At 38.8% G+C, this 16,416-nt stretch overlaps 1 protein-coding gene across 21 annotated transcripts in view; it reads right to left on the reverse strand.

Annotated features, from left to right (window-relative positions):
- Positions 1 to 16,416, reverse strand: part of TBC1D32 (TBC1 domain family member 32) — a 255,236-nt gene that overhangs the window by 67,419 nt on the left and 171,401 nt on the right. For all 21 annotated transcript variants that reach the window (NR_104452.2, XM_047418311.1, NM_001367759.1 and 18 more), the window contains 2 exons: positions 14,036 to 14,144; positions 13,098 to 13,191 (listed from right to left, as the gene is read on the reverse strand). Coding sequence is in view for 20 of the 21 variants with exons in the window: in XM_047418311.1 (XP_047274267.1) it covers positions 13,098 to 13,191; positions 14,036 to 14,144 (203 nt within the window). In the remaining variant the exon portion in view is untranslated. The remainder of the gene's footprint in view (positions 1 to 13,097; positions 13,192 to 14,035; positions 14,145 to 16,416) is intronic.

A 16,416-nucleotide genomic window follows, 5' to 3' on the forward strand; every position in this document is an offset into this window, starting at 1 on the left:
CACCAGGGTGATGAGCACAGCAGCCAACAGCAGCTTTTCATCCCATGCTCCCCCTTCCTCCCTCCATCACCCTATCTAGTAGTCCCTAGTGTATATTGTTTCTATCTTTATGTGTATGTGTTTTCAATGTTTAGCTCCCACTTATGAGAATATGCAGTATTTGGTTTTCTGTTCTTGCATTAATGCACTTAGAATAATGGCATCCAGCTGCATCCATGTTGCTGCAAAGGACATGATTTCATTCCTTTTTATGGCTGTGTAGTATTCCATGGTGAATATGCACCATATTCTCTTTATCCAATCCACAATTGTTGGGCACCTATGTTGATTCCATGTCTTTGCTATTGTGAATAGCTGCAATGAAAACACGAGTGCATGTGTGTTTTTGATAGAATGAGTTATTTCCTTTGGATATATAGTCAGTAGTGGGATTGCTAGGTTGAAGGGCAGTTCTGTTTTAAGTTCTTTGAGAAATCTCCAGAATGCTTTCCACAGTGGCTGAACTAATTTGCATTTGCACCAAAAGTGTGTAAGTGTTCTCTTTTCTCGGAAGCCCTGCCAACATCTGTTATTTTTTGACTTTTAAATTATTGCCATTCTGACTGGTGAGAGATGGTATCTGTTGATTTGGTTGCATTTATCTGATGATTAGTGATGGTGAGCATTTTTAATATTTTTTTATTTTTTTATTTTTTTTGAGACGGAGTCTTGCTCTGTCACCCAGGCTGGAGTGCAGTGGTGCAATCTCGGCTCACTGCAAACTCCACCTCCCGGGTTCACGCCATTCTCCTGCCTCAGCCTCCTGAGTAGCTGGGACTACAGGTGCCTGCCACCACACCTGGCTAATTTTTTTGTATTTTTAGTAGAGACAGGGTTTAACCATGTTAGTCAGGATGGTCTTGATCTCCTGATCTCAGGATCGGCCTGCCTCGGCCTCTCAAAGTGCTGGGATTACAGGCGTGAGCCACCGCGCCCAGTCTCATATTATTTTTGTAACTTGTATGTCTTTTTTTTTTTTTTTGAGAAGTATCAGTCCATGTCCTTTGCCCATTTTTTAATTGGAATATTTGTTTGTTGGTTGGTTTTATTATACTTTAAGTTCTGGGATACATGTGCAGAACGTGCAGGTTTGTTACATAGGTATACATGTGCCATGGTGGTTTCCTGTACCCATCAACCTGTCATCTACATTAGGTATTTCTCCTAATGCTATCCCACCCCTTGCCTCCCAACCCCCGACAGGCCCCAGTGTGTGATGTTCCCCTCCCTGTGCCCATATGTTCTCATTGTTCAATTCCCACTTACGAGTGAGAACATGCAGTGTTTGGTTTCCTGTTCCTGTGTTAGTTTGCTGAGAATAATGGTTTCCAGCTTCATCCCTGTCCCTGAAAAGGACATGAACTAATTTTTTTTTATGGTTGCATAGTATTCCATGGTGTACATATGCCACATTTTCTTTATCAAGTCTATCACTGATGGGCATTTGGGTTGGTTTCAAGTCTTTGCTATTGTGAACAGTGCTGCAATAAACATACGTGTGCATGTGTCTTTATAACAGAATCACTTAAAATCCTCTGGGTATATACACACTAATGGAATTGCTGGGTCAAATGCTATTTCCAGTTCTATATCCTTGAGGAATTGCCACACCATCTTCCACAACGGTTGAAGTTTACACTGTGACCAACAGTGTAAAAGCGTCCCTATTTCTTTTTTTTTTAGATGGAGTCTCGCTCTGTCACCTGGGCTGGAGTATAGTGGCACTATCTCAGCTCACTGCAGCCTCTGCCTAGCAGGTTGCAGCAATTCTCCTGCCTCAGCCTCCCGGGTAGCTGGGATTACAGGCATGTGCCACCATGCCCAGCGAATGTTTGGATTTTTAGTAAAGATGTGGTTTCACCATGTTGGCCAGGCTGGTGTTGAACTCCTGACCTCAGGTGATCTGCCTGCCTCAGCCTCCCAAAGTGAAAAGCAGTCCTATATCACCACATCCTCTCCAGCATCCATTGTTACCTGACTTTTTAATGATCACCATTCTAACAGGCATGAGATGGTATCTCACTGTGGTTTTGATTTGCATCTCTCTAATGGCCAGTGATGATGAGCTATTTTTTTTCATGTTTATTGGCTGCATAAATGTCTTCTTTTGAAAACTGTCTGTTCATATCCTTTGCTCACTGTTTGATGGGGTTGGTTTTTTTCTTGTAAATTTGTTTAAGTTCTTTGTAGATTCTGGGTATTATTATCCGTTGTCAGATGGATAGATTGAAAATTTTTTCTCCCATTCTGTAGGTTGCCTGTTCACTCTGATGATAGTTTCTTTTGCTGTGCAGGAACTCTGTAGTTTAATTAGATCCCATTTGTCAATTTTGGCTTTTGCTGGAATTGCTTTTGGTGTTTTAGTCATGAAGTCTTTGCCCATGTCTATGTCCTGAATGGTATTGCCTAGGTTTTCTTCTGGGGTCTTTACGGTTTTAAGTCTTACATTTAAATCTTTAATCTATCTTGAGTTAATCTTTGTATAAGTTATAACAAAGGGGTCCAGTTTCATTTTTTGGCATATGGGGTCCAGTTTTCTCAATACCATTTATTAAATAGGGAATCCTTTCCCCATTTCTTGTTTTTGTCAGGTTTGTCAAAGATCAGATGATTGTAGATGTGTAGTGCTATTTCTGAGGCCTCTGTTCTGTTCCATTGGTCTATATATTTGTTTTGGTACCAGTACCATGCTGTTTCAGTTACTGTAGCCTTGTAGTATAGTTTGAAGTCAGGTAGCATGATGCCTCCAGCTTTGTTCTTATTGCTTAGAATTGTCTTTGCTATACGGGCTCTCTATCGGTTCCACATGAAATTTAAAGTACATTTTTTTAGTTCTGTGAAGAAAGTCAATGGTAGCCTGATGGGAATAGCATTGAATCTATAAATTGCTTTGGGCAGTATGGCCATTTTCATGATATTGATTATTCCTATGCATGAGCATGGAATGTTTTTCCATTCGTTTGTGTCCTCTCTTATTTCCTTAAGCAGTGGTTTGTAGTTCTCTTTGAAGAGATCCTTCACATCCCTTGTAAGTTGGATTCCTAGGTATTTTATACCCTCTCTTGCTAGACTGCCCTGGCCAAAACTTCCAACACTATGTTGAATAGGATTGGTGAGAGAGGGCATCCTTATCTGTGCCAGTTTTCAAAGGGAATGCTTCCAAATTTTGCCCATTCAGTATGACATTGGCTGTGGGTTTCTCATAAATAACTCTTATTATTTTGAGATACGTTCCATCAATTCCTAGTTTATTAAAAGTTTTTAGCATGAAGGGGTGTTGCATTTTATCAGACTTTCCTGCATCTATTGAGATCATCAATGTTTTTGTCTGTTCTGTTTATGTGATGGATTATATTTATTGATTTGCATATGTTGAACCAGCCTTGCATCCCAGGGATGAAGCCGACTTGATTGTAGTGGATAAGCTTTTAATATGCTGCTGGGTTCAGTTTGCCAGTATTTTATTGAGGATTTTTACGTCGATGTTCATCAAGGATATTGGCCTGAAATTTTATTTTTGTTGTGTCTCTGCCAGGTTTTGGTATCAGGATGATGCTGGCCTCATGAAATGAGTTGGGGAGGAGTCCTTCTTTTTCTATTGATTGGAATAGTTTCAGAAGGAATGGGTACCAGCTCCTCTTTGTACCTCTGGCAGAATTTGGCTGTGAATCCATCTGGTCCTGGGCTTATTTTGGTTGGTAGACTATTAATTATTGCCTCAATTTCAGAACTTGCTATTGGTCTATTCAAGGATTCAACTTCTTCCTGGTTTAGTCTTGGGAGGGTGTATGTGTCCAAGAATTTATCAATTTCTTCTAGATTTTCTAGTTTATTTGCATATAAGTGTTTATAATATTCTCTGTCGGTAGTTTGTATTTCTGTGGGATCAGTGGTGATATCCCCTTTATCATTTTTTATTGTGTCTATTTGATTCTTCTCTTTTTTCTTCTTTAGTAGTCTGGCTAGTGGTCTATCTATTTTGTTAATCTTTTCAAAAAACCAACTCCTGGATTCATTGATTTTCTGAAGGGTCTTTTCTGTCTCTATCTCCTTCAGGTCTGCTCTGATCTTAGTTGTTTCTTGTCTTCTGCTAGCTTTTGAATCTGTTTGCTCTTGCTTCTCTAGTTCTTTTAATTGTGATATCAGGGTGTCGATTTTAGGTCTTTCCCACTTTCTCTTGTGGGCATTTAGTGCTATAAATTTCCCTCTAACACTGCTTTAGCTGTGTCCCAGAGATTCTGGTACATTGTGTCTATTCTCATTGGTTTCAAAGAATTTACTTGTTACTGCCTAAATTTTATTATTTACCCAGTAGTCATGCAGGAGCAGGTTGTTCAGTTTCCATGTAGTTGTGCGGTTTTGAGTGAATTTCTTAATCCTGAGTTCTAATTTGATTGCACTGTGGTCTGAGAGACTGTTTATTATGATTTCCATTCTTTTGGATTTGCTGAGGAGTGTTTTACTTCTAATTATGTGGTTGATTTTAGAATAAGTGCTATGTGGTGCTGAGAAGAATGTATATTCTGTTGATTTGGGGTGGAGAGTTCTGTAGATGTCTATTAGATCTGCTTGTTCTACAGCTGAGTGCAAGTCCTGAATATTCTCGTTAATTTTCTGTCTCGATCAACTGTCTAATATTGACAGTAGGGTGCTAAAGTCTCCCACTATTATTGTGTGTGAGTCTAAGTCTCTTTGTAGGTCTCTAAGAACTTGCTTTATGAATCTAGGTGCTCTTGTATTGGGTGCACATATATTTAGGATAGTTAGCTCTTCTTGTTGCATTGATTCCTTCACCATTATGTAATGCCCTTCATTGTCTTTTTTGATCTTTGTTGGTTTAAAGTCTGTTTTATCAGAAACTAGGATTGCAACTCCTGCTTTTTTATGCTTTCCATTTGCCTGGTAAATCTTCGTCCATGCCTTTATTTTGAGCCTATGTGTGTCTTTGTATATGAGATGGGTCTCCTGAATACAGCACATTGATGGGTCTTAACTCTTTATCCAATTTGCCAGTCTGTGTCTTTTAATTGGGGCATTTAGCTTGTTTACAGTTAAGGTTAATATTGTTATGTGTGAATTTGTTTCTGTCATTATGATGCTAGCTGGTTATTTTGCCCATTAGTTGGCGTAGTTTCTTCACAGTGTTGATGGTCTTCACATTTTGGTTTGTTTTTGCAGTGGCTGGTACTGGTTTTTCCTTTCAATATTTAGTGCTTTCTTCAGGAGCTCTTGTAAGGCAGGCCTGGAGTGACAAAATCCCTCAGCATTTGTTTGTCTGTAAAGGATTTTATTCTTTCTTCACTTATGAAGCTTAGTTTAGCTGGGTATGAAATTCTGGTTGAAAATTATTTTCTTAAGAATGTTGAACATTGGCCTCCACTCTCTTCTGGCTTGTAGGGTTTCTGCAGAGAGATCTGCTGTTAGTCTAATGGGCTCCTCTTTGTGGGTAACCTGACCTTTCTCTCTGACTGCCTTAAAATTTTTTCCTTTATTTCAACCTTGGTGATTCTGTCGATTATGTGTCTTGGGGTTGCTCTTCTCAAGGAGCATCTTTGTGGTGTTCTCTGTATTTCCTGAATTTGAATGTTGGCCTGTCTTGCTAGGTTGGGGAAGGGTTCTCCTCGGTAATATCCTGAAGAGTGTTTTCCAACATGGTTCCATTCTCCCCATCACTTTCAGGTACACCAATCAAATGTAGGTTTGGTCTTTTCTCATAGTCTCATATTTTTTGGAGGCTTTGTTCATTCCTTTTCATTCTTTTTTCTCTAATCTTGTCTTCATGCTTTATTTCATGAAGCTCATCTTCAATCCCTGATACACTTTCTTCCGCTTGATTGATTTGGCTACTGATACTTGTGTATGCTTCACAATTTTCTCGTGCTGTGTTTTTCAGTTCCATCAGGTCACTTATGTTCTTCTCTTAACTGGTTAGTCTAGTAGCAATTCCTGTAACCTTTTATCAAGGTTCTTAGCTTACTTGCATTGGATTAGAAAGTGCTCCTTTAGCTTGGAGGAGTTTGTTATTACCCACCTTCTAAAGCCTACTGTCAATTTGTCAAACTCATTCTCTGTCCAAAGTTTTGTTCCCTGGCTGGAGAGGAGTTGTAATCCTTTGCAGGAGAAAAGGTGTTCTGGTTTTTGGACTTGTTGGCTTTTTTTTACTGGTTTTTCCTCACCTTTGTGGATTTATCTACCTTTGGTCTTTGCTATTGGTGACCTTGGGATGGAGTTTTTGCGTGGTCCTTCTTGATGTTGATGCCATTGCTTTCTGTTTGTTAGTTTTCCTTCTAACAGACCCCTCTTCTGCACATCTGCTGGAGTTTGCTGGGAGTCCACTCCAGGCCATGTTTGCCTGGGTATCACCATTGGAGGTTGCAGAACAGCAAAGATTGCTGCCTGTTCCTTCTTATGGAATCTTCGTCCCAGAGGGGCACCCACCAGATGCCAGCTGAAGCTCTCCTGTATAAGGTGTCTGTTGAACCCTGCTGTGAGGTTTCTCCCCATCTGGAGGTATGGGGTCAGGGACCCACTTGAGGAGGCAGTCTGTCCCTTACCAGAGGTCAAGCACTGTGCTTGGAGATCCACTCCTCTCTTCAGAGCCAGCAAGCAGGAACGTTTAAGTCTGCTGTAGCTGCACCCACAACCGCCCCTTCCCCCTGGGGCTCTGTCCCATGGAGATGCGAGTTTTATCTATAAGCCCCTGACTGGGGCTGCTGCCTTTCTTTCAGAGATGCCCTGCCCGGAGAGGAGGAATCTAGAGAGGCAGTGTGGCTACAGGGGCTTTGAGGCACTGAGGTGGGCTCCACCCAGTCCTAATATCCAGGTGGCTTGTTTTACATTGTGAGGGGAAAACCACCACTCAAGCCTTAATAAGGTGGATGCCCCTCCCACCACCAAGCTTGCGTATACCAGGTCGACTTCAGACTGCTGTACTGTCAGTGAGAATTTCAAGCCAGTAGATCTTAGCTTGCTGGGCTCCATGGGGGTAGGATCTGCTGGGCAAGACCACTTGGATCCCTGGCTTCAGCCCCCTTTCCAGGGAAGTGAATGGTTCTGTCTTGATGGCATTCCAGGAGACACTAGGGTACAAAAAAAAAAAAAAAACCTCCTGCACCTAGCTTGGTGTCTGTCCAAATGGCTGCACAGTTTTGTGCTTGAAACCTTGTGGTGTAGGCACCCAAGGGAATCTCCTAGTCTCTGGGTTGCGAAGATGGTGGGAAAAGCGTAGTACCTGGACTGGATAGCACCGTCCCTCATGGCACAGTCTCTAATGGCCTCCCTTGGCTAGGGGAGGGAGTTCCCCAAACTCTTGAGCTTCCTAGGTGAGAACAGAGCTACCCTGCTTCTGTTCACCCTCCGTGGGCTTCACCCACTGTCTAACCAGTCCCAGTGAGATGAACCAGGTACCTCAGTTGGAAGTGCAGAAATCACCCGCCTTCTGCATTGGTCTCACTGGGATCTGAGGACTGGAGCTGTTCCTATTACGCCATCTTGTCAGGGAATCAGATTATTTGTTTTTTACTTGTTGATTTGTTCAAGGCCCTGTTAGATTCTTGATATTAGCTCCCTACCTTACCATATACAAAAATTAACTCAAGATGGATTAATGATTTACATTTAAGATCTCAAACTATAAAATTCCTAGAAGAAAATCTGGAAAACACCCTTCTCGACATAGGCTTTGGCAAAAAACTTATGGCTAAGTTCCCAAAAGCCATTGTAACAAAAACAAAAATTGATAAGTGCAACCTAATTAAAGAGTTTCTGCACAGCAAAAGTAATTACCAACAGAGTAAACAGACAACCTGCAGAATAGGAGAAAATGTTCACAAACTATTCATCTGAAAAAGGTCTAATAGTAAGTGTGTAGGCTTGTTTCTGGGTTCTCTATTCTGTTTTATTGGTCTATGTGTCTGTTTCTGCACCAGTACCATGCCATGTTGGTTACTTTCACCTTATAGTATAGTTTGAAGTCAGGTAATGTGATGCCTCCAACTTTGTTGTTTTTACTTAGTATTGCTTTGGTATTCCAGCTCTTTTTTGGTTCCATATGAATTTCAGAATACATATTTCTAATTCTGTGAAAAATGATATTGGTATTTTAATAGGGATAGCACTGAATCTATAAATTGCTTTGGGAAGTATGGCCATTTTAACAATATTGATTCCTACAATCCATGAGCAGAAATATTCTTCCATTTATTCATGTCATCTCTGATTTCTTTCAGCAATGTTTGTAGTTCTCCTTGTAGAACTACTTCCCATCATTAGTTAGATGCATTCCTAGGCTTTACTGTGTGTGGGTGTGTGTGTGGCTATAGCAAATGGGATTATGTTCTTGATTTGGCTTTCAATCTATACTGTTGTATAGAAAAGCTGACTTTTGTTCATTGATTTTTTATCTTGAAATTTTACTGAAATCATTTATCATTCCTAGGGTCCTTTTATTAGAATCCTAGGGTTTTCTATGTATAGAATTGTATCATCAGCAAGGGGAGATAGTTTAACTTCTTCTTTTCCTATTTGGATGCTTTTTCTTTCTTTCTCTTGCCTAATTGTTCTAGCAAGCACTTTCAGTACTATGTTGAACAAGTGTAGTGAGAGTAGGCATAGTTGTCTTTTTTCAGTTCTCAAAGGGAATGATTCCACTTTTTACCCATTCAGTATAATGCTGTGATGTTAGCTGTGGATTTGTCATAGATGGCTCTTATTATTTTGAGATATGTTCCTTTATGCCTAGCCTATTGAGGGTTTTTATCATGAAGAGATGTTGGATTTTACTGAGGGCTTTTTCTGTGTCTATTGAAACGGTAATGTAGTTTTTGTTTTTTATTCTGTTTATGTGGTGAATCACATTCATTGATTTGCATATGATGAACCAAACTTGCATCTCAGGAATAAACTCTAACTTGTGGTGAATTAACTTTTGCTGCTGGATAAAAATATGCTGCTGGATTTCATTTACTAGTATTTTGCTGAAATTTTTTTTGCCTATGTTCATCAAGAATATTTGGCCTAAAGTTTCTTTTTTTGTTGTCTCTGTCAGAGTTTGGTATCAGGATAATATTGGCTTTGTAAAATAAGTTATAAAGAAGCTCCTCCTCTTCAACTTTTTGGAATAGTTTCATAAGGATTGCTATCAGTTCTTTATACATCTAGTAGAATTCTGTATGAATCCATCTGGTCCCAGGCTTTTTTTTTTTGGTTGTTAGGCTTTGTATTACTGATTCAGTTTTGAAATTTGTTATTGGTATGTTCAGAATTTTACTTTCTTCCTGGTTCAATCTTAGGATATCATGTTTTCAGGAACTTATCAATATCCTATAGACTTTCTAATTTGTGTGCATTGAAGTGTTCATAATAGTCTCTTTGTATTTTGATCTTTTGTATTTCTGTGGGATCAGTTGTAATGTCATTTTTGTCATTTTTGACTGTGCTTATTTGGATCTTCTTTTTTTTTTCTTTGTTAATCCAGCTAGCAGTCTATCTATCTTGTTTTTCCTTTTAAAAAATCAATTATTGGTCTCACTTATCTTTTTTATGGATGTTTGTGTCACAATTTCATTCAGTTTTCTTTGATTTTAATTATTTATTTTCTTTTGCTAACTCTGGAGTCAGGTGGGTTTTTTTTCCATTTCCTCTAGGTATGATGTTAGATCATTAATTTAAGGTCTTTCTAACCTCTTGATGAAAGCCATAGGACTATAAACTTATCTCTTAGCACAAATTTAGCTGCATCCCAAAGATGTTAGTAAGTTGCATCTCTACTTTGATTAGTTTCAAAGAAAGTTTTTATTTCTGACTTAATTTCATTGTTCACTCAAGGGTTATAAAGAGCTAGTTGTTTAATTTCCATGTTTTTGTGTAGTTTTGAGAAATCTTCTTAGTATTAATTTCCATTTTTATGGCACTGTGGTCTGAGAGTGTGCTTGGCATCATTTTTAAAAATTCACTGAGATTTGTTTTATGGCCAAGCATATGGTCAATCACAGAATATGTTGCATGTGTAGAAGACAAGAATGTATATTCTATCATTGTTAGGTGGAGTATTCTTTGGATACTTATTAGGTCTACTTCACCAAGTGTCAAGTTTAATTCCACAATATCTTTGTGGAATTTTCTGCCTCAGTGATCTGCCTAATGTTGTCAATGGGGTGTTGAAGTCCATCACTATAATTTAGGGGCTATATAAGTCTTTTCCAGTGTCAAGAAAAACTTGTTTTGTGAATCTGAGTGCTCTAATGTTGAGTGCATACATATGTAGGATAGCTAAGTCTTCTTGTTTACTTGAACACTTTATCATTATGTTATGGCCTTCTTTATTCTTCCTGGTTGTTGTTGGTTAAAAGTCTATTTTATCTGATACAAGAACTGCAACACCTGCTCTTTTATGTTTTCCATTTGTGTGGTTGTTTTTCTGCATCCCTTTGAGCCTGTGAGTGCCATTACATGTGAGATGTGTCTCTTGAAGACAGCAGACAGTTGGGTCTTATCTTTTTATCCAGCTTGCCACTCTATGCTTTTTAAGTGGGGTGTTTAGGCCAGTTACATTCAGGGTATTAGTACTGATATGTGAGATTCTGATCCTGTCATTCGGTTGGCAGTTGGTTGTTTTATAGACTTGATGGTGTAATTCCTTTATACTGTCTGTGAGTTATGTGCTTTAGTGTGTCTTTGCGGTAGCAGGTTTTGATCTTCCATTTCCATGTTTAGCACTCTCTTAATGACCTCTTGTAAGGCTGGTCTGGTAGTAATGAATTCCCTTAGTAGTTGCTTATCTGAGAAGGATTTTATATTTCCTTTACCCTGAAGCTGAGTTTGGTGGGATATTAAATTCTTGGTTGAAATTTCTTTACCTTAAAAATGCTGAAAATAGGCCTCCAATCTCTTCTGGCTTTAAGGTTTCTGCTGAAAAGTCTGTTGCTAGCATGATGAGGTTCCCTTTGTAGGTGACCCAACCTTTCTCTCTAGCTGCCTTTAAGTTTTTTCTTTTGCAATGATTTTGGTAAATCTGATGATGATGTGCCTTGGGGATCGTCATCCTGTATAGTATCTTGCAAGTGATCTCTGTATTTCTTAAATTCTTGTGTCTACATCTCTAGCAAACTTGGGAAAATTTTGATGGACTTCAAATGTTTTCCAAGTTACTTACACTCTCTCCTTCCCTCTCAAGAATGCAAATGAGTCATAGATTTGGTCTCTTTACATAATCTCATATTTCTTGGAAGTTTTGTCACTTTTAAAAATTATTTTTTCTTTGTGTCTGACTTAGTTGATTCAAGAACCAGTCTTCAAGCTTTGAGATTCTTTCCTTAGCTTGGTCTATTCTGCTATTAATACTTCTGACTATGCTTTAGGACTAATTATGAAATTCTTAAGGTGAATTATTCAATTCCAGAGGTTCAGTTTAGTTCTTTCTTGAAATGGTTATTTTTTCTTTTAGCTCCTGGATCATTGCACTGGATTCCTTGGATTTCTAGGACTGGGTTTCAACTTTCTCCTGGATCTCAATGATCTTCCTTACCAGCCAGATTCTGAATCCTAGGTCTGTCATTTCATTCCTTTCAATATGGTTAAGAACCACTGCTGGGAAACTAGTGCATTTGGTTGGAGGTAAGAGGACACTCCAGCTTTTTGAATTGCCATGTGGAGTGCTGGTGTTCCTTTAACTGTGAGGTAAGTTGAGTATACTCAGTTGGCTTTGTTTCTGGGTGCTTTCAGAGAGCTACAACCCTATACAGAAACTTTATTTGTGGCTGAATTTTTGCCTTAAGTGTCACAGGCACTGTATACTGGCAAAATGTTTTTGGTGTTGTAATTTGGGCTTCTATCCAGTAGGTAGAGTTTAAGAGTGGTGGCCTGCAGATAGGCCATGTAGCTTCATCTTTCATCTTAGAATTCTCTAGCCTAAAAATTCTGTTTGAATTTTAGTGGCTCATAAGATAATGTCTAAACACCTGAGTTTGATCTCCACTGGTCTTATGGCTGGGCTTACATGTTCAGTCTTACTTCCTGTCACTCTTGCTGTCACATTCCAAATCTCAGACATTGTTCAACTACCACAGTTCTCTGACTATAACTTGCTTCTTCCAGCCCCTCTGCTTTTTCCTCTGCCAAAAAGAAAAAATGCTCTTCTCTTACTCAGAAAATAAATATTTAAACTACATGCCTCATTATATACATATTCTTCTTTGGAAGAGTATCCTGCTTATGGACTATCCTAGCAGGCTATACATTTTTCTATTTAGTTCCCATCACATTGTACTGCTATACAATTATCTAATTATTTGAATGCATTCTGTAAGAGTTCATGACTCCACAAAGGTGGGAACCATAATCTTCACTAATTTCAGTTGTTGAGTATACAAGACCTGTGTATAGCACATAGCAGTTACTAAAAATTACTACTCTGTTGATACATACCTAGAATTAATTGCACAAATCAAAGACCATTACTTTTTTTTTAATCAAACAGCTGTTGCTACTGGACAGATCAGCTACAGCTTAGCAACAAGAAATAAGAATAATTAGCCTCATACAAATAGTCATGCATTGCTTAATATAATGAGAATACATTCTGAGAATTGCATCCTCAAGCAATTTTGTCACTTTGTGAACACTGTAGAGTGATCTTACACAAACCTAGAGGGTATAGTCTAACTCTACACCTAGGCTACACGGTGTAGCCTATTGCTCCTAGGCTACAAGTCTATACAGCATGTTACTGTACTGAATACTGTAGGCAATTATAGCACAATGGTATTGTGCATCTAAACATATTTAAAGATTTTAAAAGGTACAGTAAAAATGTGGTATAATAATCTTATAAGACCACCTTTGTATACTTGGTCCATCATTAACCAAAATGTCATTATGCAGTGCATGACTGTACCAAGTTAGTAAGAAACATGAGGAAAAAAATACAAAGAAATAGGCATAAATGCACACATGTATACATGCTAAATGCAGTCAATATTCATCTTCCTTAATATTTTCTTTTTTTCAAATTATAACAAAAGCTTTAAAAATAATATGGCATTTGATGGTAAATATTTTACCTTGTTTTATACCAGCATTTCTTGTAATGTCTGACAGATAGCAGTTTGGCAATGGATATGATGAAAACATTGGCCAAGGATATGGATTATCACTCTAAAAAAGAAGCAAGACAGATGACTTTAGGAAGTGGTCTAAAATAATATTGAATTTTAAAGCTATCTGAAATATTGTTAACTTAAACTGGCTTTTCTTGCTCATAAATTCTGCAGTTGTTGCCCAGTTAACCAAAAGCTATTTGATACTATACTTCAATATTCCAATGGGTAATACTTAAAACAAGCTGTAACAGAAACAATATTAAATTAGTACTGAGGACAAACATATGGTAACTTGTAGTAAGCAGAATTGATAATGATAAATTTACTGTGTTTTTTTTCATAAAAGGAAAATTGTAATCTTCAAAAGAAACCTGTGGTTTTTTCCACAAAACTTTTTCTCGTGCTGTCAGTCATTTCTATCTTATCTTTCCGAGAGTGACAGTCAAAGCAAGAAGGTTCTTAACAACAATGAAAACAAATGAAAAACCTTCATGAGAAACCCATACTTGAATACTGATGGAAGGAGAGGTACTCAATGTTTCCAATAAAATAAAAAATAATGTCATTTAATAATAAAAGTTAAGTATCATGAATGAGAAAGACATTGAAAGTAAAATATTCAAAGGCGCATAAGAAAAATAACTTTTTAATAAAACAATACCTACTCTACTACACATGCAAACAATACATACCCTACTTTAGCATTCATGACCCTTAGACATCAAAAATATTATTTTAGTTTGAAAGTATTTATTTGCATCCTAAATATTCTCAAGTAATAAGTTCAACTCTGTGATGTAGACATTTAAGAGGTAAAGTTTAGGGTGACTTTGAGTTGGCTATCTTGCTTCAAAATATGTCAGAAAAACACATCCCACTTCTCTTTGCCCCACACTCACCTTTTCGAGTAACCTCGGAGGCAAAATCCGTTCCAATGGCCCACCAACAAGATTTATTCTAACAAGAACATGATTTCTCTCCACTGATAAGCCATCAATTATAAAGTCCCTGAAAAAATAAATATATCACCTTTGTCATCCTTTTGATTGAATATGTGTTAATTTTTAAATCAAGTCTCTGGATTGTAAAGAAAAAAGGCAAAAATATTTATCAATCTATTTCTTTTTCTTTACTGCATTTAGCATTTATATAATTTTATTAAGTTCAGGGTACCTGTGCAGGATGTGCAGGTTTGTTACATAGGCAAACGTGTGCCATGGTGGTTTGCTGCACAGATCATCCCATCACCCAGGTATTAAGCCCAGCATCCATGAGCTATTCTTTCTGATGCTCTCCCTCCTCCCCAGCTTCACCCTCTAACAGGCCCCAGTGTGTGTTGTTCCCCACCATGTGTCCATATGTTCTCATCATTCAGCTCCCACTTATAAGTGAGAACATAGAGTATTTGGTTTTCCATTCCTATATTAATTTGCTGAGGATAATGGCCTCCAGCTCCATTCATGTCCCTGCAAAGGACATGATCCTTTCTATAGCTGCATAGTATTACATGCTGTATATGTATCACATTTTCTATCATTGATGGGCATTTGTGTTGATTCCGTGTCTTTGCTATTGTGAATAGTGCTGCAATGAACATAAGTGTGCCTGTATTTGTCTAATAGAAGGATTTATATTATTTTGGGTATATACCCAGTAATGGGATTGCTGGGTCAAATGCTATTTCTGTCTTCAGGTCTTTGAGGAATTGCCACACTGTCTTCCACAACGGTTGAACTAATTTACACTCCCAACAGTGTAAAAGCATTCTTTTTTCTCCACAACCATGCCAGCATCTGTTGTTTTTTGACTTTTTAATAATAGCCATTCTGACTGGTGCGAGATGATATCTCATTGTGGTTTTCATTTGCATTTCTCTAATGATCAGTGATGTTAAACTTTTTTTCATATGTTTGTTGGCCACATGTATGTCTTCTTTTGAGAAGCATCTGTTCATGTCCTTTGCCCACTTTTTAATGGGACTGTTTGCTTTTCTCTTGTAAATTTGTTTACATTCCTTGTACATGCTGGATATTAGGTGTTGTTAGATCTTTGTCAGATGGCCAGATTGCAAAAAGTCTTCCCTATTCTATAGGTTGTCTGTCCACTCTGATGATAGTTTATTTTGTTGTACAGAAGCTTTTTAGTCTAATTAGATCCCATTTGTCAGTTTTTGTGTTTGTTGCCATTGCTTTTGGCATCTTCCTCATGAAATCTTTGCCCATGACTATGCCCTGAATGGTATTGCCTAGATTTTCTCCAAGGGTTTTTATAGTTTTGGGTTTTGGGTTTACATTGAAGTATTTAATCCACCTTGAGTTGATTTTTGTATACAATGTAACTGAAGGAACGTATCACAAAATAATAAGCACCATATATGACAAACCCACAGACAGTATCATACTAAATGAGCAAAAGCTGTGAGCATTAGCCTTGAAAACTGGCACAAGACAAGGATAGCTTCTCTCACCACTCCTATTAAACATAGTATTGGAAATTCTAGCCAGGGCAATCATGCAAGAGAAAGAAATCAAGTGCATTCAAACAGAAAGAGAGGAAGTCAAACTATATTTGTAGATGACATGATGCTATATCTAGAAAACCCCATCATCTCAGCCCAAAAGCTTCTTAAGCTGACAAGCAAAGTCTCAGGATACAAAATCAACATGCAGAGCCAAGATGGCCGAATAGGAACAGCTCCAGTCTACAGCTCCCAGCGTGAGCGACGCAGAAAACAGGTGATTTCTGCATTTCCATCTGAGGTACCGGGTGCATCTCACTAGGGAGTGCCAGACAGTGGGCGCAGGCCAGTGTGTGTGCGCACCGTGCGCGAGCCGAAGCAGGGCGAGGCATTGCCTCACCTGGGAAGCGCAAGGGGTCAGGGAGTTCCCTTTCCGAGTCAAAGAAAGGGGTGACGGACGCACCTGGAAAATCGGGTCACTCCCACCCGAATATTGCGCTTTTCAGACCGGCTTAAGAAACGGCGCACCACGAGACTATATCCCACACCTGGCTCAGAGGGTCCTACGCCCACGGAATCTCGCTGATTGCTAGCACAGCAGTCTGAGATCAAACTGCAAGGCGGCAACGAGGCTGGGGGAGGGGCGCCCGCCATTGCCCAGGCTTGCTTAGGTAAACAAAGCAGCCGGGAAGCTCGAACTGGGTGGAGCCCACCACAGCTCAAGGAGGCCTGCCTGCCTCTGTAGGCTCCACCTCTGGGGGCAGGGCACAGACAAACAAAAAGACAGCAGTAACCTCTGCAGACTTAAGTGTCCCTGTCTGA

The sequence above is a fragment of the Homo sapiens genome, chromosome 6 (genome assembly GCF_000001405.40).
Source record: "Homo sapiens chromosome 6, GRCh38.p14 Primary Assembly".
Taxonomy (NCBI): domain Eukaryota; kingdom Metazoa; phylum Chordata; class Mammalia; order Primates; family Hominidae; genus Homo; species Homo sapiens.